Source organism: Homo sapiens, chromosome 15 (genome assembly GCF_000001405.40).
Source record: "Homo sapiens chromosome 15, GRCh38.p14 Primary Assembly".
Taxonomy (NCBI): domain Eukaryota; kingdom Metazoa; phylum Chordata; class Mammalia; order Primates; family Hominidae; genus Homo; species Homo sapiens.
In genome coordinates this window covers 55,942,368-55,966,877 of record NC_000015.10, presented here as the reverse complement: position 1 = coordinate 55,966,877, position 24,510 = coordinate 55,942,368, and the positions used below count along the sequence as shown (strand labels likewise).

Below are 24,510 nucleotides of genomic sequence, written 5' to 3'. Positions count from 1 at the left end.
GAACTTTCGATTTTGTGTACATATATAGCAATAATTGGAAATTCCTATTAGTTGCAATACTTTGGCTTTAGATTTTCTTGAGCGCAGCGATAAATTCTTATTCAGTGTAATAAGTTGACTCAAGTTTTTGCTTATCTTTGTAAATAATCAGGTCATCTACAAATAATTTTCTTTTTTTCCCGTGTAACTTTTAATAAAATTAATTATTGAAAAAGATTCTTCAATTAATTTTAATATCCTAATTACTTTATTTGATATATATTTTTTAAAAAATTGTGTCTTAGTTAACTTATAAGTACATGAAAATGAAATCTAAATTTTTGTATTTTAGGAAAATTCACGAATTGTGAGAGTAAGAGTTATAGCCGGAATAGGCCTTGCCAAGAAGGATATATTGGGAGCTAGGTAAGTATATCTATTTGGATTATAATTTTAAAACTTTGCATTTGTTAATTAGTTTTTTCCAAACTTTGGTTAAATTAGAAATCAAATAGTATTAGTAAATTGTTGTGGAAAGTATAATAATAATATTACCAGTTGGTGGTTTACTAAATCTCTTGGTATCTGAATTACTAAATTTGTGAAATTAGGCAGAAGTACAAATGATAGCAATAGTCACAAGATACATTATTGAGCTCTGCTTCTGGAAATTTGCAAAATTCTAACAGACTAATCCTTTAGCAGATAACAACCATAAACTCTGGACTTAATACAAAAAGCAGCAACCTGAAGGCAGTGGAGAGTGAACAGAGCAGGCAGATTCTGGTGGGGAGTTCATGTTTGGAAGAAGGGAATTGTACTGAGTGAGTTCCTGATACTATGAATTGGTCTGAGGGCAGGTAGAATCAGAACCTGGAAAAATTGTAGTCTTCATGGCCTGGGAACATAGCAGAATCCAAACTTTGGTTCAATTAAAAATCAAATAGGGCCAGGCATGGTGGCTCATGCCTGTAATCTTAGTAATTTGGGAGGCCGAGGCAGGCGGATCAGTTGAGGGTCAGGAGTTTGAGACCAGCCTGACCAACATGGTGAAACCCTGTCTCTACTAAAAATACAAAAATTATCCAGAAATCGCTTGAACCCAGGAGGCGGAGGTTGCAGCGAGCCAAGATTGTGCCACTGCACTCTAGCCTGGGCAACAGAGTGAGCCTCTGTCTCAAAAACAAAAATACATACAAACATGCATGCATACATACATACATACATACATACATACATACATACCAAATAGTATTAGTAAGTTGTTGTGGAAAGTAGAATAATATTTCCAATTGTTGATTTACTGAATCTCTGAATCTGAAGAAAACATGGCAGTGGTAAGGATTCTGGAAGAGAGAGAGCTGAAGAGCTCAGCAACTCATCTGAAGACAAAAGATCTGAACAGAGATCACAGTCACTGCCTAAGAAACGGGGTTTGGGAGACTGAGGCAGACAGGTTGCTTGAGCTCAGGAGTTTGAGACCAGCCTGGGCAATATGGTGAAACCTGTCTCTACAAAAAGTACAAAAAATCAGCTGGGCATGGTGGCGCATGCCTGTACTCCTGGCTACATGGGTGACTGAGTCAGGAGGATTGCTTGAGTCTGGGTGGTTGAGGCTGCTGCAGTGAGACAAGATTGTGCCAATGCACTCCAGCCTGGGTGACAAAGTGAGACCGTGTCTCAAAAAACAAACAACCAAAAACAGGATTTGTGGCTCTTGTCCAAACAGGATGATTAGTTGCATGATAGTCTTATTATGTTTAGTGTTGCTATAACAGAATTCCTAAGACTGTGTATTTTGTAAAGAAAAGAGGTTGATTTGGTGAGTGGAAAGTTCAAGACTGGGCCTTTGCATCTAGTGAGGGCCTCAGGCTGCTTCAAGTCATGACAGAAACGGGAAGGGGACCTAGCGTACACAAAGAAATCACATAGCAAGAGTGGAAGCAAGGGGGAGGTGTGCCAGCCTCTTTTTGACAAATCGAGAGGAACAAATAGAATGAGAACTCACTCACTTCCGAGGGAGGGCATTAATCTATTCAGGAGGGATTTGCTCCCATGACCCTAATACCTCCAACCGAGACCCATCTTTCAATATTCCCACATTGGAAATCAAATTTCAACATGCGGTTTGAAGGATACAAATATCCAAACCATAGAATGATAAGCAGACACACACACACACACACACACACACACACACACACACCAGCAGCAAAATTCACACACACACACACACACACACACACACCAGCAGCAAAATTCAGTCTCCAAAACTTAACATTTATAATATATGTCCAGGATATAATGCAAAATTACTTATCTAAAAAGAACCAGGAAAATGGAAGGCATTTTTAGTAGAGAAAAGAAAATATGGCCACAATAAATTTTAAAAATATGAAATGAAATGGAAACCATAAAAAAATGAAAATTCCAGGAGTGAAAAATACAGCATTTGAAATTAAAATTGTTGGGTAGATTTGTCAGCCAAATGGAGAAGAGGAAAGATTAACTGAACTTAAAGATAGATCAGTAGAAATTGTTACGCAGTTGGAAGATGAGAGAGATGAGAGAGACAAAGATTGGAGAAAAACAACAACAACAACAACAACAGAGCCTTGAGGATTTGTTAGCTAATATATAAAAGTCTAACATGGATATCATTATATAATATCTTACAGTCTAACACAGAAAGGGGAGGGAAAAGAAGAAGGCACAATATTTTTTGAAGAAATATTGGCCAAGTTTTTTTCCAAATTTGATTAAATTTATATAGTATTTAAAAACACCAAGCAGGATAATAAACATTAAGAACACAATGAAGTGCATAATAGTCAAACTGTTGAAAGCCAAGTATAAAGAGAAAAATCTTGACAAAAAGAGAAAAATATGACACTTTATATATGGGGGAACTACAATTCAATTAATTACTGACTTCCTACCCAAAACTACGGAGACCAGGAGAAAATGGAACAATAAAATAACAACCATCAATCCATAGTTTTATATTCAGTGAAAATATCCTTTAAGGAAGATGACAAAATAACATTTTCCAAAAAAAGACACCTAGATAATTCATCATTGGCAGACCTGTGCTGTAAGATATCTTAAAGTCCTTTCAGCTGAAGAAAATTGAAACCAGATAGACACTCAGGTCCTTAGAAAGGAATAAAGAGTATCAAAAATAGTAAATATCTGGGAATATACAAAACATGTTTTGCTTTTCTCATCATACCTTTTTAAAATAAAACATATGCCTGTTGAAATCACAAGTTAAAACATTGTTTTTTAGGATTTATATTGTTGGTGAATGGAATACATAAAACAACTATAACATAAAGGATGGAGCAGGTATAAGTTATAGACCTATTTGGTAGAATGGTACAATACTAAGTATAAGTTGAATAAAAGATTAATGATGTATATTGTAATATCCAGAGAAACCAATAAAAAATAATGCAAAGAATTATAGATAAAAAACAGTAGAAATTTTAAAATGAAGTTGTTGAAAAACTAAATAAAAAAGCCAGGAACTTGAGCCCAGAGGTTCAAGACCAGCCTGGGCAACAAAGTGGGACCCTGTCACTAGAAAAAGTCAAAAAATTAGCCAGGTATGGTTGTATGCATCTGTGGTCCCAGCTACAAAGGAGGCTGAGGTTGGAGGATCGCTGGAGCCCAGGAGGTCAAGGCTCCAATGAGCCATGATTTTGCCACTGCACTCCAGCCTAGGCGACAGAGTGAGACCCTGTCTCAAAAAAAAAAAAAATAAAAAAGAGTGCCAGAAAAGGAGAAGCAAATGATTTAAAAAAGTAACGGAGGCCGGTTGTGGTAGCTCACGCCTGTAATCCTAGCACTTAGGGAGGCTGAGGCTGGTGGATCACCTGAGGACAGGAGTTTGAGACCAGCCTGGCCAACATGGTGAAATCCCATCTCTACTAATATACAAAATTAGCTGGGTATGGTGGCGCGTGTCTGTAATCCCAGCTACTCAGGAGGCTGAAGCAGGAGAATCAGTTGAACCCAGGAGGCAGAGGTTGCAGTGAGCTGAGATCACACCATTGCACTCCAGCCTGGGCAAAAGAGCTAAACATCAAAAAAATAAAATAAAAAAAATAAAAGTCGGAAAAGGAGGAACAAATGAACAAAAAAAGTAAAAGAGGCTGGGTGCGGTGGCTCACCCTTGTAATCCCGACACTTTGGGAGGCTAAGGCGGGTGGATCACCTGAGGTCAGGAGTTCGAGAGTAGCCTGGGCAACATGGTGAAACCCCATCTCTACTAAAAATACAAAAATTAGCTGTGTGTGGTGGCAGGCATCTGTAATCCCAGCTACTCAGGAGGCTGAGGCAGGAGAATTGCTTGAACCTGGGAGATGGAGGTTGCAGTGAGCCAAGATTATGCCACTGCACTTCAGCCTGCATGACAAGAGTGAAACTCCATCTCAAAAACAAACAAAAAAACAACGTAAAGGGCAGTGACAATGGAAAACAAACAATAAACCTGTAGACTAAATCCAATCATATCAATAATTACAAGGAACATTAATGGATTAAAATAAATATGAGACAGATGTTGTTAGGATAAATTAAAAAACAAGACCCAACTATATACTGTCCTACGTGATGCACTTAAAATATAAAGACATAGCTAATTTGAAAGAAAGCGGACGCAAAAAGATATGCCATGCAAACAGTAAGCATAAAAAGACTGAAGTGGATATATTCGTATCTGGTAAAATAGATTTCAACACAAAAATTTTCAAACATTTCATGATGATAAAGAATAAAGTCAATCAGGAATATATAACAATCATAAATGTGTGTGTGCCTGCTAAAAGAACTTAGAAAAATATGAATCAAAATTTGACGGAATTAAAGGGGAACTTTTTAAAACTCCCACCGTCATAGTTGGAGGCATTAACACTTCTCTTTCAGCAGTTGATAAAACAACTAAATAAAAAAATCAAAAACATAAATTTAAACAATATTATGAATAACTTTGACCTAAAGAACACTATTTCTAACAACTTTCTTTTCAAATGTACATTCTTTTCAAGTGTACATGGTACATTCACTAGCATAGACCACACATGGGCTGTATTAGTTTATTGCTTCATAATAATATTACCACAAACTGGCCAGGCGCGGTGGCTCACATCTGTAATCCCAGCACTTTGGGAGGCTGAGGCGGGCGGATCACAAGGTCAGGAGATTGAGACCATCCTGGCTAACACTTTGAAACCTGTCTCTACTAAAAATACAAAAAATTATCCGGGTGTGGTGGTGGGCTCCTGTAGTCCCAGCTGCTCGGGAGGCTGAGGCAGGAGAATGATATGAACCCGGGAGGCGGAGGTTGCAGTGAGCCAAGATGGGGCCACTGCACTCCAGCCTGGGTGACAGAGTGAGACTGCGTCTCAAATAATAATAATAATAATAATACCACAAACTTAGTTGCTTAAAAGAACGTACATTTATTGTCTCACAGTTTCTGTGGTTCAGAAGTTCCTGCATTGTTTAACTGGGTCCTCTGCTACAGGGTCTTGGAAAGCTGCTGTTGTATTTTTTTTTCTACTTTTTTTCTAATTTTTTCTAATTTTGCAGTCTTGAAGTCTCTCACATGAGAGTGGCTGTAAACTCTAGCCCTGCCCTGATGAGACTCTAGGAATTTGGACATAGATGTTTACAGTGTGCCTTTCATGGGTATTCTTAGGCAAGTGCCCTCATGCCTAAGTGTCTGACCTATGACCAGATGTCCCTCTCACAGCAAACTTGCATATCCTGGCAGATGCTCTTATAGCTCTTGTCTGTGTCCAGTTTGTTCCTACCAAAATAGCAGATAGCCACTCTCTAGGAGAATCCTGACAAACAAGTTAGGGTCGAGTGTATCAGTCAGGTGAGACACGGGAGGCAACTCAACAAAACACAAGAAATAACAGCAGTTTATTACTTACAGATGCCAGAGAGAAGAGGGCAGCATGCCTCCCAGGGCCAACAGGAAGTGGGGAGCCATCTAGGACATGCACAGTCAACTAGTGGGTGGGGAACAGGGCAAAGAGTACAAGTGACCTGTGGGCTGAGGCTTTTACTGGGGTCCAGGGCATTTTCCAAGCAGGTTTCCCTCAGGGAGTTGTAATTGGTGGGTTTAGAGCAAGTAGGCATAAATTTCATGGAGTCATGCTGTGTCTGAGAAATCAGTATTAGGGTTCTCTAGGGGGACAGAACTAATAGGATAGATATATATATGAAGGGGAATTTAGTAGGAGAATTGACTCACATGATCACAAAGTGATGTCCCACTATTGGCCATCTGCAAGCTGCGGAGCAAGGAAGCCAGTCAGAGTCCCAAAACCTCAAAAATAGGAAAGCCAACAATGCAGCCTTCAGTCTGTGGCTGAAGGTACAAGAGCCCCTAGCATATCACTGGTGTAAGTCCAAGAGTCCAAAAGCTGAAGAACTTGGAGTCTGATGTTCGAGGGCAGGAAGCATCCAGCACGAGAGAAAGATGAAGGCCAGAAGACTCAGCAAGTCAAGTCCTTCCACGTTCTGCCTGCTTTATTCTAGCTGCCCTGGCAGCTGATTAGATGGTGCCCACCCAGATTGAGGGTGTGTCTGCCTCTCCCAGTCCACTGATTCAAATGTTAATCTCCTTTGGCAACACCCTCACAGACACACCTAGGAACAATACTTTGCATCCTTCAGTCTAATGAAGTTGACACTCAATATTACCCATCACAGAGAGGTGGTTACTGTGGCTTATTTCTGCAGTCCTTTGGGGGTATGGGGTCAGTGGAGCAAGTCAAGTAGGTTGAATCTGGTTGTTTCTTAGGGAGATGGTTACCAGGAGGCAGTTGTGTAAGGTAGTTATCTGGATTGACCACATTGAGGAGCTGAGAGGAGGTAGAGAACTGGAAACTGTGCTAAGGGTGACTAAGACCTGCTTCTGGTATAAAAATGTCCAACTTAACATTCATTATGGATGCTGAGGCAACATAAAATTATAGGAATTCACTTCAGCTGTCATTAAGGTATTGGTAGGGCTGTGGTCTTAGCTGAGGCTTGCTTAGGGAAGGATTCACTTCCAAGCTAATGTGGTTGCTGGTGGCATTCAGTTCCTTGCATGCTGCCAGTCTGAGCGTTTCCATTTCTTACTAGCTGTCAGCTGGAGGCCGTCTCAGCTTCTTGCCATTCAGCAGCTCACAAGCTGCCAGTTTGCTTCTTCAAAGCTAGCAAGAGTCTCCTAGCAAGATGGATTACAATCTTATGTAATGTAATCACATACTTTTTGTCACATTTGCCATAATCTGTTGGTTAGAATATATAGATCTGTCCCATGCTTAAGAGGAGAGGAACACAAAGAACATGAATATTAGGAGGTGGGGATAATAGGAGCTGCCCTAGTGTCTGGATGCCACAATATTCCGGGCCTTGAAACAATAAACCACATTCTTTTGAAATGCACATGGTACGTTAATCAAGATAGACCATGTGTGGGTCCATAGGACAAGTTTCAGAGGTTTTCAAAAGATTGAAATCATATAGAGGATGTTCTTTGAGAACAGTGGAATTCAATTGGAAACCAATAATATTAAGATCTAGAAAAACTGCAGATATTTGGAATTTAATTAGTATACTTCTAAATAATCTATATGTCAAAGAAGAAAACATTTTGAACTGAATGAAAATGAAAATACAGCAATATCACAATTGTGGAATGCAGCTAAAGTTATATTCAGAGGGAAGTTTATGTCTTTAAAATGCTTAACTTAGAAAAGGAGCAAGATATAAATGAATGTTTTGAGTTCTGACCTTAATAAATTAGAAAAAGAAGAGCGAATGAATTCTAAAATAAGTAGAGGGAAGAAATAATAAAGACAAGGGCCAAAATCAGTGAAAGAGAAAGTGGACAATGGTAGAAAAAAAATTATTGTAATCAAAAGCTTGTTATTTGAAGACATCAATTAAAGTTTTAAACCTCTAGCTAGAATGATCAAGAGTTAGAGAGAAGGCACTAATTACTGGTAATGAGAATGAAAACTGGGGCATTGCTATAGACCCTGTGGAAATGAAAAAGATAAAAAGAAAACATTTTGTACAATTTTGTATCAGTAAAGAAGTACACACAATTTAGTGAAGTAGATAATATTCTTGAAAGACACAGATTTCAGAACTAGCCACAGAACAAATACAAAACTTTAATAGATGTTTATTATTGAAAGAAATTGAATTTGTTGTTAAAAGAAATTGAATTTGTTGTTAATTAAATTGAATTTGTCCTTCCCACAAAGAAAACTCCAGGCCCACATGATATCACTGGATGCAGCTATCAGACATTTAGGGAAAAAAAAATAAAAATTCTACACAAACACGTTCAGAAAATGGAGGGCATTTCCCAACTCATTTTATTAGGCTAATATTATCTTGATCCCCAAACCAGACACAGACATCACAAGAAAACTTAAAACCAATATCTGTCAACATAGATGCAAAAATGAAATTAAACATTATGTAGCAATATATCACCACTTAGGATTTTTCCTACAAATGCAAGGTTTGTTCAACATTAAAAAAATTAATTAATGCAATTCACTGTATTAATACAGTAAAGTAGAAAAAACACATGGTCATTTCACTTGGCATGGAATGTGCCTTTGACAAAATGTAACACCCAGTCATGATAAAACCTCTCAGCAAACTAACATAAAATACAAAGGTGGCTTAACATCTGAAAATTAACTGATGTAATACACTGTATTAATAGAATAAAAGAAGACAGTCATCTTTTTTTTATTATACGTTAAGTTCTAGGGTACATGTGCACAATGTGCAGGTTTGTTACACATGTATACATATGCCATGTTGGTGTGCTGCACCCATCAACTCATCGTTTACATTAGGTATATCTCCTAATGCTATCCCTCACCCCTTCCCCCACTCCACGACAGGCCCTGGTGTGTGATGTTCCCCACCCTGTGTCCAGGTGTTATTGTTCAGTTCCCACCTATGAGTGAGAACATGCGGTGTTTGGTTTTCTGTCCGTGTGATAGTTTGCTTAGAATGATGGTTTCCAGCTTCACCCATGTCCCTGCAAAGGACATGAACTCATCCTTTTTTATGGCTGCATAGTATTCCATGGTATATATGTGCCACATTTTCTTAATCCAGTCTATCATTGATGGACATTTGGGTTGGTTCCAAGTCTTTGCTATTGTGAATAGTGCCGTAATAAACATACATGTGCATGTGTCTTTATAGCAGCATGATTTATAATCCTTTGGGTATATACCCAGTAATGGGATCGCTGGGTCAAATGGTATTTCTAGTTCTAGATCCTTGAGGAATCGCCACACTGAGAAGACAGTCATCTTAATAAAAGCAGAAAACACAACTGACAAAATTCAACACCCATTCATAATAGACACTCTCTGCAAACTAGGAATAGATGGAAATGTCCTAAACCTCATCAGGGGTATCTATGAAAAAACCCAGTAGCTAACCACCTACTTAATGGTGGCAGTTTGAAGCCCCTCTACTTAACTCAGGAATAAGGCAAAGTTGTCTGCTTTCATGTTCTATCCAACATTGTACTATATATTTTAGCCATGTAGTATGGCAAAGAAAAAAAAATCACACAGTCAAAAAGGAAGAAGTAAAACTGTCTTTATTTGCAGACAACATGGTTTGTACGTAGAAAGCCCCAAGGAATCTACAGAAAAAACTACTGGAAGAACTAATAAATGAATTTAACACCACCACAAAATGCAAAGTCAGTGTTTGTATAACCCAAAATCAGTTATATTTCTGTATCCTATCATTGGGCCATTGGAAAATACAATTTAAAAACGTGTTTACAATTGTATAAAAGTTAAATATTTAGAAATAAATACAACAAAAGATTTGTAATAAATGGACACTGAAAACTATAAAACAGTGCTGAGAGAAGTCGAAGACAACATAAATCAATGGATACATATGCTGTTTTCATTAGAAGACTCAATAGTGTTAGGGTGGCATTTTTCTCCAAATTGATTAGATTTGGCACAATCCCAATAAAAATCTCAGCAAGTTTTTTCAGAGAAATTGATAAGCTGATTTCAATATTTGTATGGAAAGTCAAGGCACATAGAATAGCCAAAACAATTTCAAAAAAGAACAAAATTGGAAGACTTACATTACCCCATTTCAAGACTTGCTACACAGTTATAATAAGACAGAGTGGCAGTGGCATGAGAATAGATATATTGTTCAGTGGAATGGAGAGTGTAAAAATACATGCGCATGTGTGTGTGAGAGAGCGAGAGAGAGAATATATACACATATATATGATCAGCTCCTGTTTAACAAAAAATGCTGAGGTAATTCAAGGGAAAGGGTAGTCTTTCAGTACACAGTACTAGAACAACTGGTCTGTATAGAATGAAATGAATCTTGGTCCTTACCACACATCATACAGAAAATTAGTATGAGCTAAAATGATAAAACTTCTATAGGAACACATAGGAAAAAAATCTTTGCTCTATTGGGTTACACAAAGTTTACGTGAACAGTACCAAAAAGGATGAGCCATAAAAGAAAAATGTTGAAAGGAACTTCAACACAATTAAAACTTTTCTTCTTTAAGAAACAAGGTTACGGAAAATGCAAGCCATAGATTGGGAAAAAGTATCTTTAGACATATATCTGGAAACAACCTAAATGTCCATTGTCAAATGAATGGGTAATCTCATGTACCCCATAAATACATACACCTACTATGTACCCACAAAAATTAAAAACATAAAAAAAAGAAATGTGGGCTGGGCATGGTGGCTCACACCTGTAATCTCAGCACTTTGGGAGGCCAAGGTGGGAGGATCACTTGAGCCCTGGAGTTCGAGACCAGCCTGGTGATAAGACCCTGTCTCTACAAAAAAATTTTTGAAAAATTAGCCAGGTGTGGTGATGCACACCTGTGGTCCCAGCTACTCAGGAGGCTGAGGTGGGAAGATCACTTGAGCCCAGGAAGTTGAGGCTACAGTGAGCCGTGTTTGTGCCACCTTACTCCAGCCTAGGTGACAAAGCGAGACCCTGCCTCAAAAAAAAAAAAAAAAAAATGTAGTATAGATCCTTTTGTAGTTTTTAAGTGTCATGATGGGGTGTCCATGCACATGTGTAAGATGTGCCACTCTTGAAGCTTGTTACAACATGGGCAGATTACCAATCTCACATGAAAAGAAAAAAAAAAGAAATGTATATACATACAGTGTTTATTCAGCCTTTAAAAAGAAGGAAATTCATGTGACAATATGGATTAATCATTAGGATATTACACTAACTGAAATAAGACAGTCACAGAAAGACAGATACTGCATGTTTACATTTATATATCTAAAATAGTCAAATTCATAGAATCAAAGAGTGGAATGCTGGTTGCTGTGTTGGGGTGAGGGGTGAGGGGTAAGTAGAAATGGAAGTTAATAATTAACAGGCATTAAACTTGAGTCAAGCAGGAAGAATAAGCTCTAGAGATCTGCTGTACAATGTTGTGCCTAAAGTTAACATTAATGTATGTGCAATTAAAAATTTAAGAGGGTAGAGCTGCCAGGTATGGTGGCTGATGCCTATAACCTATAATCACACCACTTTGGGAGGCTGAGGCAGGTGGATCACTTGAGCCTGCAAATTTGAGACCATCTTGGGCAACATGGTGAAACCCTGTTTCTACAAAAAAACACAACAATTAGTCAGGCATGGTGGTGTGCGCCTGTAGTCCCCGCTACTTGGGAGGCTGAGGTGGGAGGATTGCTTGAGCCCGGGAGGCAGAGGTTTCGAGTGAGCCGAGATTGCAGCACTGCACTCCAGCCTGGGCAACGTTGCAAGACTCTGTCTCAAAAAATGCTGGAATGCAGTGCAGTGCAGTGCAGTGCAATGCAATACAATGCAGTGCAGTGCAAAATAGGGTAGAGGTCATGTTAAATATTCTTACCACAAGAGAAACAATTAAACAAAGATATCTGAAGAAGGCCATTAACCCCCTATATATATGAAACCTCTTACAACTCAGTAATAATATAATTAAAAAGCCAATTAAAAATGGCAAAACTCGGCTAGGCACGGTGGCTCACGCCTGTATTCCCAGCACTTTGGGAGGCCAAGGCAGGTGGATCACCTGAAACTGGGAGTTGAAGACCAGCCTGACCAACACAGAGAAATGCCATCTCTACTAAAAATACAAAATTAGCCAGGTGTGGTGATGCATGCCTGTAATCCCAGCTACTTGGGAGGCTGAGGCAAAAGAATCACTTGAACCTGGGAGGCGGAGGTTGCGGTGAGCCGAGATCGCGCCATTGCATTCCAGCCTAGGCAATAAGAGTGAAACTCCATCTCAAAAAAAAAAAGGCAAAACTCTTGAACACAGTGTCTGTGTATTGTTCAAGTGTATTTGTTTAGCTGGATGGTGAGATTAGGGATAGATACATAATTACATTTACATTTTGTATTTATATTTAATAGTATATAGTTAGTTGTAAAAAACCATGGATAAGACTGGAAAGGGAAAATGTAGAGAGAACAGAGGGCTGGGGCAATACTTAGGGAATATCAGTATTTAACTGGCAGATAGTAGAAGAGGTGCCTAAGTAAGCCACCGAAGGAACAGTTCGAGTGGTATGAGGAGCACTAGAAGAGATGTGTCGTAGAAGCAAAATGAGATGAGTGTTTCAAAGAGAAAATGGTCAGTAGTATCTAAAAACATAAAGAGGGCCAAAAAAAGAAGTATCTGGAAAATGTTGATTACTTTAACAAGACTGATGACTTTACAACAGCCTTTTCATAGGAGTGGATCTAAAGGGAAGAGACAGAAACCAGACTGTAGGGTTTTGAAGTGTAACATGAATTAAGGAAATGAAGAAAAGGAGGTGGTATGCTATAGTCGTTAAGAGTATAGGCTGGGAGGCCGAGGCAGGAGGGTCACGAGGTCAAGAGATTGAGACCATCCTGGCCAACTTGGTGAAATCCAATCTCTACTTAAAATACAAAACATTAGCCAAGCGTGGTGGCAGGCGCCTGTAGTCCCAGCTACTCAGGAGGCTGAGGCAGGAGAATTGCTTGAACCCAGGAGGAGGAGGTTGCAGTGAGCCGAGATCGTGCCATTGCACTCCAGCCTGGCGACAGAGCAAGAGAGTTTAAGCCGGGCATGTTGGCTCATGCCTGTAATCCCAGCACTTTGTGAGGCCAAGGCGGGCAGATCACCTGAGGTCAAGAGTTTGAGACCAGCCTGGCCAAGATGGCAAAACCGCGTCTCTACTAAAAATACAAAAATTAGCTGGGTGCGGTGGCGTGTGCCTATAATCCCAGCTACTTGAGAGGCTGTGGCAGGAGAATAGCTTGAACCCAGGAGGCAGAAGCTGCAGTGAGCCAAGATCGCGCCACTGCACTCCAGCCTGGATTACAGAGTGAGACTTCATCTCAAAAAAAAAAACAAAAAAGAAGATAAAAAAAGAAGAGTATGGCCTCTGGAGCCAGGTGCTGGAGTTTCAATCCTGGCTGTCCGCTTTCTAGCTGTGTGATCTGTATGAAATAAAGAAAGGAATAGTACCTACCTCACAGGTGGTTATAGAGATTCAAAGAATTAATATACGGGCTCAGCGCTATGGCTCACGTGGGTAATCCCAGCACTTTGGGAGCCAAGGCGGGCGGATCACCTGAGGTCAGGAGTTCAAGACCATCCTGGCCAACATGGTGAAGCCCTGTCTGTACTAAAAATACAAAAATTAGCCGGGCGTGGTGGTGTGCGCCTGCAGTCCCAGCTACTCGGGAGGCTTAGGCAGGAGAATGGCATGAACCCAGGAGGCAGAGGTTGCAGTGAGCCAAGACTGCACCACTGCACTCCAGCCTGGGCAACAGAGCAAGACTCTGTCTCAAAAAAAAAGAAAAAAAAAAAGAATTAATACACGAAACGTGATTACAGTGGTGTCTGGCACTGAGTAATTGCTATATAAGTGTTCTTGTTTTTATTATTAAAAACTGCCTCTGAAAAGGTTTGACTGGGAATGGAAGAAAAGGATGTATTTTGCTTTGCTGGAGAAGGGAGGGAAAGTCAAGGGGAGGAGGAGTTTAAAAACATTTATATGCCTAGAGAAACCTAGATCAAAGAAAAAGCCAAAGGTCTAAAAGAGAGCAGTGAGAACAGATGACGCAAGGCTCCAAAGTTCAGAGAACTGAACAAGGGGGATGAGACTCAAAACAAGAGGACTCCTGACTCACTAGGTTAGGGGTAAGGATGGATTCTGATAAATACCAGTATGTTGCGAGTGTTCTGGTGCCTTCGAGTTTGGCCAATTAAGAGGTAACGTGGTATGAGGAAATGGAGTTGGGGGAAGGATAGTTTGGATTAGTTTGGAGGGTACTTCGTGGAGAATGGTGAGTACTTTGGATACCCGAGGAAAACAGGAGAAATTTAACAATGGACAAGTAAAGTGTCCAAAGTCTTGTGGTTTACAACCCTATATATCACAAGAATTTCCTTCTCCATGTCTCCTTGTAGAAGTGGTTACATAACACCTAGTTATTTTATTTTATTTTATTTTATTTTTTGAGACGGAGTCTTGCTCTGTCGCCCAGGCTTGAGTGCAGTGGCGTGATCTTGGCTCACTGCAAGCTCCACCTTCCAGGTTCATGCCATTCTCCTGCCTCAGCCTCCCGAGTAGTTGTGACTAAAAGTGCCTGCCACCACGCCTGGCTAATTTTTTTTTTTTGTATTTTTAGTAGAGACGGGGTTTCACCATGTTAGCCAGGACGGTCTTGATCTCCTGACCTCATGATCCGCCCGCCTCGGCCTCCCAAAGTACTGGGATTACAGGCATGAGCCACCGTGCGCGGCCACACCTAGTTTTTGTTTTTTTTTTTTTAAGTGAAAGCAGTTTGCCTTTACTTTATAAGAAGAGTTTACACCCATGAGATAACTTGAGACAACCTGAAGTCTTACAAAACCAGCGTCAGAATCATTGAATTAACCATCTTATCTCAAAAGAAGAAAGAATGTAATAAAAATCAAACAAAATTTTAAAAATCTAGGAAGCTTATAATCATTAGGCCTGTGATTAAAAGGTTTTCTTTCTAGTTCTTTGTGTCTTTCACTAACATGGTACTTCAGGTTTTTAACGAGATGCAAAAATTACTTTAATTGCTTACCTGCCTAAGAATCCTGACTTTTAAATTCAGGAAATAATTGTAGATATAACTAACAAGGAAAACTGTGAATTTTATAGTCTGGGTAATCTGAGCTTGGGGTAAGCAATAATTAAAATTTTTCTTTCTTTTTTTTTTTTTTTTTAACAGTGATCCTTACGTGAGAGTGACGTTATATGACCCAATGAATGGAGTTCTTACAAGTGTGCAAACAAAAACCATTAAAAAGGTTAGACTTAGCAATATTCAAAAGTTTTTAATGTACTTTGTTTTATTTTTATAAGACAAAACCTTATTTAGTTATACTATGTTTATTATTTTTTAGAGTTTGAATCCAAAGTGGAATGAAGAAATATTATTCAGAGTAAGTATATATTTTATTTTACTAAAGTGGAAAAAGTAAGTTTTTTTCTTAGGAGGTTAGAATGATAAATTCTCATTTTTAATATTTGAAGATGTATCTCAGAATTTGCCTAAAGTTGTGAAAATACAAAAGGAATTGAAATTTTGTCTTATAAAAAACATAAATGTAAGATAATGGAGAGGTAAAAGACTAGAATTATCTTATTCTAGTAAAACTGATTTAGAGACTGTACAGTAGTCTTACTCCAGTTGAGCAGATTCAGTGTTTTCTCATAAAGATGATGCAAATTATATTTATGTCTCCCCAGTCATTTATTATTAAACAGATTAGGGCCTATCAAGTGAATGCATTTCTTTTTATCCACACGTCATTGACATTGCTGCCTTTCCACCCCATCTGCCTCATTTACCATAAAAGCAAATTCCAATCAGCAGTTATTTCCAATTCCTCAGCAAGGCCCTCAGACTGACAGTGTCTCCTTGTACCTATTTAATATCAGAGTACTTACTGTTGCCAGAATCGAAACCCTACCAGAGCAGTGGTAGAGATGCATTTTAGGAATTTCCCCTCTCTGGATTATTCCCACTTGTATCATCCCTAAAATGTTCTTCCTTGACCCCATATTCCCCTTTAGCTGTTGAGTCGTTTCTCTGTTCACCTGAATAAGGAACATTCATGGGAGAGTTGTCTGCCCTCGTCATTTCTGCTTCTCCGGGACGCTCGTTAACCCACTGTACTCTAAATCCCCATCACTCAAATGAAACTGCTGTTATTCGGGTCACCAGTGACTTCCCTGCTGCCAAGTTCATCTTATCTCATCTTACTCATGCTCTTTGCAGCATTTGACATGGCAGATCATTCCTGAAACACCAGCCTCTCTGGAGGCTTCTGTGGTACCATACTTGATTTCAGTAAGGAAAACAGAAGCCGTTCTTCTGTACTTCATGTTTAAAGATTTTTTGTTTGTCTTCTTTTGTTCAATTTTAATAAAGTGAATTTGAAGGGAAGAAATTGCTGACATTAAGGGCAAGGAAGCTGTTGCTGAAGATCCAGCCAAAGGCATCAATTAAGTTGCTTCTGTTTTTTTGGTTTGGAGTAAGATTTTCCCCACTCTATGTAGTATGACATAAAAACAACCTTTTAAATCGGTTTGGAAATTTTGGATTCTTGAGGAAATGGTATTGAATCAATTGGATCGTCAAATGAAGAAAAATGAAGCTAAATTTCTGTTTTTACTATTTAACCAGAATAAATTCCAGACTTGATAATGTCTGGTTTTGATTGCTTTTTTGGCACAAGTGTTGGTTAGGAGAGTGTTTTTAAATTCCCAAGTTGTTGAGTTATTTATTTATTTATACTTTTGTTTTATTTTACTTATTTTGTTACATTTTTCTTAGAAACATATGTATTTTCTTTTTTTTTTTAATTATACTTTAAGTTCTAGGGTACCTGTGCACAACGTGCAGGTTTGTTACATATGTATACACGTGCCATATTGGTGTGCTGCACCCATTAACTTGTCATTTACATTAGGTATATCTCCTAATACTATCCCTCCCCACTTCCCCCACCCCATGACAGGCCCCAGTGTGTGACGTACCCCTTCCTGTGTCCAAGTGTTCTCATTGTTCAATTCCCACCTATGAGTGAGAACATGAGGTGTTTGGTTTTTTGTCCCTGCGACAGTTTGCTGAGAATGATGGTTTCCAGCTTCATCCATGTCCCTACAAAAGACATGAACTCATCCTTTTGTATGGCTGCATAGTATTCCATGGTGTATATGTGCCACATTTTCTTAATCCAGTCTATTATTGATGGACATTTGGGTTGGTTCCAAGTCTTTGCTATTGTGAATAGTGCTGCAATAAACATATGTATGCATGTGTCTTTACAGCAGCATGATTTATAATCCTTTGGGTATATACCCAGTAATGGGATTGCTGGGTCAAATGGTATTTCTTGTTCTAGATCCTTGAGGAATCGCCACACTGTCTTCCACAATGGTTGAACTAGTTTACAGTCCCACCAACAGTGTAAAAGTATTCCTATTTCTCCACATCCTCTCCAGCTCCTGTTGTTTCCTGACTTTTTAATGTTCGCCATTCTAACTGGTGTGAGATGGTATCTCATTGTGGTTTTGATTTGCATTTCTCTGATGGCCAGTGATGATGAGCATTTTTACATGTGTTTTTTGGCTGCATAAATGGCTTCTTTTGAGAAGTGTCTGTTCATATCCTTCGCCCGCTTCTTGATGGGGTTGTTTTTTTCTTGTAAATTTGTTTGTGTTCTTTGTAGATTCTGGATATTAGCCCTTTGTCAGATGAGTAGATTGCAAAAATTTTCTCCCATTCTATAGGTTGCCTGTTCATGCTGATGGTAGTTTCTTTTGTTGTGCAGAAGCTCTTTAGTTTAATTAGATCCCATTTGTCAATTCTGGCTTTTGTTGCCATTGCTTTTAGTGTTTTAGACATGAAGTCCTTGCCCATGCCTATGTCCTGAATGGTACTGCCTGGGTTTTCTTCTACGGTTCTTATGGTTTTAGGTCTAACGTTTAAGCCTTTAATCCATCTTGAATTAATTTTTGTATAAGGTGTAAGGAAGGGATCTAGTTTCAGCTTTCTACATATGGCTCGCCAGTTTTCCCAGCACCATTTATTAAATAGGGAATCCTTTCCCCATTTCTTGTTTTTGTCAGGTTTGTCAAAGATCAGATGGTTGTAGATGTGTGGTGTTATTTCTGAGGGCTCTTTTCTGTTCCATTGGTCTGTATCTCTGTTTTGATACCAGTACCATGCTGTTTTGGTTACTGTAGCCTTGTAGTATAGTTTGAAGTCAGGTAGCATGATGCCTCCAGCTTTGTTCTTTTTGCTTAGGATTGTCTTGGCTATGTGGGCTCTTTCTTGGCTCCATATGAACTTTAAAGTAGTTTTTTCCAATTCTGTGAAGAAAGTCATTGGTAGCTTGATGGAGATGGCATTAAATCTATAAATTATCTTGGGCAGTATGGCCATTTTCACAATATTGATTCTTCCTATCCATGAGTATGGAATGTTCTTCCATTTGTTTGTGTCCTCTTTTATTTCATTGAGCAGTAGTTTGAGTAGTTCTCCTTGAAGAGGTCCTTCACATCCCTTGTAAGTTGGATTCCTAGGTATTTTATTCTCTTTGAAGCAATTGTGAATGGGAGTTCACTCATGATTTGGCTCTCTGTTTGTCTGTAATTGATGTATAAGAATGCTTGTGATTTTGCACATTAATTTTGTATCCTGAGACTTTGCTGAAGTTGCTTATCAGCTTAAGGAGATTTTGGGCTGAGACGGTGGGGTTTTCTAAGTATACAATCATGTCATCTGCAAACAGGGACAATTTGACTTCCTCTTTTCCTAATTGAATACCCTTTATTTCTTTTTCCTGCCTGATTGCCCTGGCCAGAACTTCTAACACTATGTTGAATAGGAGTGGTGAGAGAGGGCATCCCTGTCTTGTGCCAGTTTTCAAAGGGAATGCTTCCAGTTTTTGCCCATTCAGTATGATATTGGCTATGTGTTTGTCATAAATAGCTCTTATTATTTTGAGATACGTCCCATCAATACCTAATTTATTGAGAGTTTTTAGCATGAAGGGCTGTTGAATTTTGTCAAAGGCCTTTTCTGCATCTATTGAGATAATCATATGGTTTTTGTCTTTGGTTCTGTTTATATGCTGGATTACGTTTATTGATTGCGTATGTTGAACCAGCCTTGCATCCCAGGGATGAAGCCCACTTGATCATGGTGGATAAGCTCCTTGTACCTTTGGTAGAATTCAGCTGTGAATACGTCTGGTCCTGGACTTTTTTTGGTTGGTAGGCTATTAATTATTGTCTCAATTTCAGAGCCTGTTATTGGTCTATTCAGAGATTCAACTTCTTCCTGGTTTAGTCTTGGGAGGGTGTATGTGTCGAGGAATTTATCCATTTCTTCTAGCTTTTCTAGTTTATTTGCATAGAGGTGTTTATAGTATTCTCTGATGGTAGTTTGTAGTTTGTATTTCTGTGGGATTGGTGGTGATATCCCCTTTATCATTTTTTATTGCGTCTATTTGATTCTTCTCTCTTTTCTTCTTTATTAGTCTTGGTAGCGGTCTATCAGTTTTGTTGATCTTTTCAAAAAACTACCTCCTGGATTCATTGATTTTTTGAAGGGTTTTTTATGTCTCTCTCTCCTTGAGTTCTGCTCTTACCTTAGTTATTTCTTGTCTTCTGCTAGCTTTTGAATGTGTTTGCTCTTGCTTCTCTAGTTCTTTCAATTGTGATGTTAGGGTGTCAATTTTAGATCTTTCCTGCTTTCTCTTGTGGGCATTTAGTGCTATAAATTTCCCTCTACACACTGCTTTAAATGTGTCCCAGAGATTCTGGTATGTTGTGTCTTTGTTCTCATTGGTTTCAAAGAACATCTTTGTTTCTGCCTTCATTTCGTTATGTACCCAGTAGTCATTCAGGAGCAGGTTGTTCAGTTTCTATGTAGTTGAGCAGTTTTGAGTGAGTTTCTTAATCCTGAGTTCTAGTTTGATTGCACTGTGGTCTGAGAGACAGTTTGTTATAATTTCTGTTCTTTTACATTTGCTGAGGAGTGCTTTACTTCCAACTATGTGGTCAATTTTGGAATAAGTGTGGTGTGGTGCTGAGAAGGATGTATATTCTGTTGATTTGGGGTGGAGAGTTCTGTAGATGTCTGTTTGGTCCACTTGGTGCAGAGCTGAGTTCAATTCCTGGATATCCTTGTTAACTTTCTGTCTCATTGATCTGTCTAATGTTGACAGTGGGGTGTTAAAGTCTCCCGTTATTATTGTGTGGGAGTCTAAGTCTCTTTGTAGGTCTCTAAGGACTTGCTTTATGAATCTGGGTGCTTCTGTATTGGGTGCATATATATTTAGGATAGTTAGCTCTTCTTGTTGAATTGATCCCTTTACCATTATGTAATGGCTTTCTTTGTCTCTTTTGGTCTTTGTTGGTTGAAAGTCTGTTTTATCAGAGACTAGGATTGTAACCCCTGCTTTTTTTGTTTTCCATTTGCTTGATAGATCTTCCTCCATCCCTTTATTCTCATGAGCCTATGTGTGTCTCTGCACATGAGGTGGGTCTCCTGAATACAGCACACTGATGGGTCTTGACTCTTTATCTAATTCGCCAGTCTGTGTCTTTTAATGGGGGCATTTAGCCCATTTACATTTAAGGTTAATATTGTTATGTGTGAATTTGATCCTGTAATTATGATGTTCACTGGTTATTTTGCTCGTTAATTGATGGAGTTTCTTCATAGCATCGATGATCTTTATAATTTGGCATGGTTTTGCAGTGGCTGGTACTGGTTGTTCCCTTCCATGTTTAGTGCTTCCTTCATGAGCTCTTGTAAGGCAGGCCTGGTGGTGACAAAATCTCTCAGCTTGTCTATAAAGGGTTTTATTTCTCCTTTTCTTATGAAGCTTAGTTTGGCTGGATATGAAATTCTGCATTCAAAATTATTTTCTTTAAGAATGTTGAATATTGGCCCCCACTGTCTTCTGGCTTGTAAGGTTTCTGCTGAGAGATTTGCTGTTAGTCTAATGGGTTTCTCTTAGTGGGTAACCTCACCTTTCTCTGTGGCCGCCCTTAACATTTTTTCCTTCATTTCAACGTTGGTGAATCTGACAATTATGTGTCTTGGGGTTGCTCTTCTCGAGGAATATCTTTGTGGTGTTATCTGTATTTCCTGAATTTGAATGTTGTCATGCCTTGCTAGGTTGGGGAAGTTCTCCTTGATATTATCCTGTAGAGTGTTTTCCACCTTGGTTCCATTCTCCCTGTCACTTTCAGCTACACCAAACATAGAGTTGGTCTTTTCACATAGTCCCATATTTCTTGGAGGCTTTCTTTGCTTCTTTTTATTCTTTTTTCTCTAAACTTGTATTCTCACTTTATTTCATTAATTTCATCTTCAATCAGTGATAGCCTTTCTTCCACTTGATTGAATCAGCTACTGAAGCTTGTGCATGTATCACAAAGTTCTTGTGCCATGGTTTTCAGCTCCATCAGGTCATTTAAGGTCTTCTCTACACTATTTATTCTAGTTAGCCATTGGGCTAACCTTTTTTCAAGGTTTTTAGGTTCCTTGCAATGGGTTAGAACATGCTTCTTTAGCTTGGAGAAGTTTGTTTTTACCGACCTTCTGAAGCCTACTTCTGTCAACTCATCAAAGTCATTCTCCTTCCAGCTTTGTTCTGTTGCTGGCGAGGGGCTGCGATCCTTTGGAGGAGAAGATGCGCTCTGGTTTTTAGAATTTTCAGCTTTTCTGCTCTGGTTTCTCCCCATCTTGGTGGTTTTATCTACCTTTCATCTTTGACGTTCGTGACATACAGATGGGGTTTTGGTGTGTATGTCCTTTTTGTTGATGTTGATGCTATTCCTTTGTGTTTGTTAGTTTTCCGTCTAACACTCAGTTCCCTCAGCTGCACATCTGTTGGATTTTGCTGGAGGTCCACTCCAGACCCTGTTTGCTTGGGTATCACCAGTGGAGGCTGCAGAACAGCAAATATTGCAAAACAGCAAATATTGCTGCCTCATCCTTCCTCTGGAAGCTTTGTCCCAGAGGGGCACCTGCCTGTATGAGGTGTCTGTTGGCCCCTACTGGGAAGTGTCTCCCAGTTAGGCTACACGGGGGTCAGGGACCCACTTGAGGTGGCAGTCTCTTGTTATCAGAGCTCAAATCCCATGCTGGGAGAACCACTGCTCTCTTCAGAGCTGTCAGATAGGGACATTTAAGTCTGTAGAAGTTTCTGCTGCATTTTGTTCAGCTATGCCCTGCTCACAGAGGTTGAGTCTATATAGGCAGTAGGCCTTGATGAGCTGAGGTGGGCTCTGCCTAGTTTCAGCTTCCCGGCTGCTTTGTTTACCTACTCAAGCCTCAGCAATGGTGGACACCCCTTACCCCACCAGTCTGCAGACTGGCAGGTCGATCTCAGACTGCTGCGCTAGCAGTGAGCAAGGCTCTGTGGGCATGGTACCCGCCAATCCAGGCATGGGAGAGAATCTCCTGGTCTGCCAGTTGATAAGACCATGGGAAAAGCACAGTATTTGGCCAGAAGTGTCCTGTTTTTCCAGGTACAGTTTATCACAGCTTCTTTTGGCTAGGAAAGGGAAATCCCCTGACCCCTTGCACTTCCGAGGTGAGGCAATGCCCCATCCTGCTTCGGCTTGCCCTCTGTGGGCTGCACCCACTGTCCAGCCAGTCCAAATGAGATGAACCAGGCACCTCAGGTGGAAATGTAGAAATCACCCGTCTTCTGCGTCAATCATACCGGGAGCTGCAGACAGGAGCTGTTCCTATTTGGCCATCTTCCAATCATTACATCTTAAAGCTCCAAAATAATCTCCTTTGACTCTGTGTCTCACATCCAGGCCACACTGATGCAAGGGGTGGGTTCCGAAAGGCCTTGGGTGTCTCCACCCCTGTGTCTCTGCAAGGTACAATCCCTTCAGCTGCTTTCACAGGCTAGTGTTGAGTGCCTAAGGGTTTTGCAGGCAAACAGTGCAAGCGGTTAGTCAATCTCCCATTCTGGGGTCTGGACGATAGTGGCCTACTTCTCACAGCTCCACTAGGCAGTGTCCCAGTGGGAACCCTGTGTGGGGACTCCAGTCCCACATTTCCCATCCACACTGCCCTAATAGAAGTTCTCCATGAGGGCTCTGCCCCTGCAATATCCAGACTTCTGTGTGGATATCGACACATTTCCATACATCCTCTGAAATCTAGGAAGAGCTCCTAAGCCTCAGCTCTTGCCCTGTGCCCACCTGCAGGCTTAAAACCATGTGAAAGCCACCAAGACTTACGGTTTGAACCTTCTAGAGCAGCGGCCTGAGACATATCTGGGCCCTTTTACCCACAGCTGGAGCTGGAGTGGCTGGGACTCAGAGAGCAGTGTCCCAAGGTTGTGTAGGGCAGCAGGGCCCTGGGCCTGGTCTATGAAATCATTCTTCCCTTCTAGTCCTCTGGGGCTGTGATAGGAGGAGCTGCCACAAAGATCTCTAAAATGCATTCAAGGCATCTTCCCCATTGTCTTGGCTATGAACATTCAGCTCCAGCAGCTGGCTTGAATTCCTCCCCACAAAATGGGGCTTTCTTTTCTACCACATGATCAGGCTGCACATATTCCCAACTTTTATGCTCTGCTTTCCTTTTAAATATAAGTTCCAGTTTCAGATCATTTCTGTGAATGCATATAAGCATATGGTTAGAAGCAGCCAGGCCACTTCTTGAACACTTTGCTGCTTAGAAATTTCTTCTGCCAGATACCGTAAATCATCTCTTTCAAGTTCAAAGTTCCACAGATTTCTAGAGCAGGGGCACAATGCTGCCAGTCTCTTTGTAGAAGCATAGCAAGAGGGACCTTTATTTCAGTTCCCAAAAGATTCCTTGTCTTCGAGACCACCTCAGCCTGGACTTTCCTGTTCATATCACTATCAGCATTTTGGTCACAACCATTCAACAAGTCTCTAGGAAATTCTATCTTTCCATCATCCTCCTTTCTTCTTCTGATCTCTCCAAACTGTTTCAACCTCTGTCCATTACCCACTTCTAAACTTGCTTCCACATTTTCAGGTATCTGTATAGCAATGCCTGACTTCCCATTACCAATTTTCTGTATTAGTTTGTTCTTGCATTGCTATAAAGAACTCCCTGAGACTGAGCAGTTTATAAAGAAAACGGCTGTAATTGACTCACAGTTCCACAGGCTGTACAGGAAGCCTGGATGAGGGGGCCTCAGGAAACTTAACAATTGTGACAGAAGGTGAAGGGGAAGCAGGCTCATCTAACATGGCCAGAGAAGGAGGAGGAGAATGAAGGGGGAAGTACTACACACTTTTAAGCAACCAAATCTCATAAGAAGTCGCTTACTATCACCAGAGCAGCAAGGGGGAAGTCTGCCTCCGTGATCCGGTCACCTCCCATCTGGCCCCTCCTCCAACATTAGGGATTACAATTTGACATGAG

General features: G+C 40.0%; 1 protein-coding gene and 1 non-coding gene across 6 annotated transcripts in view, besides 1 other annotated feature; both read left to right on the top strand.

The window, feature by feature from the left end:
* The window catches only part of NEDD4 (NEDD4 E3 ubiquitin protein ligase), a 166,696-nt gene that overhangs the window by 26,735 nt on the left and 115,451 nt on the right, over positions 1 to 24,510 (top strand). For 2 of the 5 annotated variants that reach the window (NM_006154.4, XM_011521625.4), the window contains 3 exons: positions 332 to 405; positions 15,289 to 15,367; positions 15,464 to 15,502. In NM_006154.4, the coding sequence (NP_006145.2) occupies positions 332 to 405; positions 15,289 to 15,367; positions 15,464 to 15,502 (192 nt within the window). Of the gene's footprint in view, positions 1 to 331; positions 406 to 14,189; positions 14,297 to 15,288; positions 15,368 to 15,438; positions 15,503 to 24,510 lie in introns of those variants that run through there. The other 3 variants (NM_001329212.2, XM_011521626.2, XM_011521624.4) reach the window with 3 other exon arrangements.
* Positions 8,831 to 9,008: a silencer, noted in NCBI's record as "fragment chr15:56250068-56250245 (GRCh37/hg19 assembly coordinates)". NCBI's record gives its function as "represses an EF-1alpha promoter that drives an FKBP-Casp9 reporter gene in an ReSE screen in phorbol 12-myristate 13-acetate-treated (for megakaryocytic differentiation) K562 erythroleukemia cells {active_cell/tissue: K562(+PMA)}" and the evidence as "EXISTENCE:reporter gene assay evidence [ECO:0000049][PMID:32094911]".
* Positions 11,074 to 11,177, top strand: LOC124903604 (small nucleolar RNA U13). The gene has a single exon (XR_007064830.1). It is a non-coding gene; the product is annotated as a small nucleolar RNA U13 (small nucleolar RNA).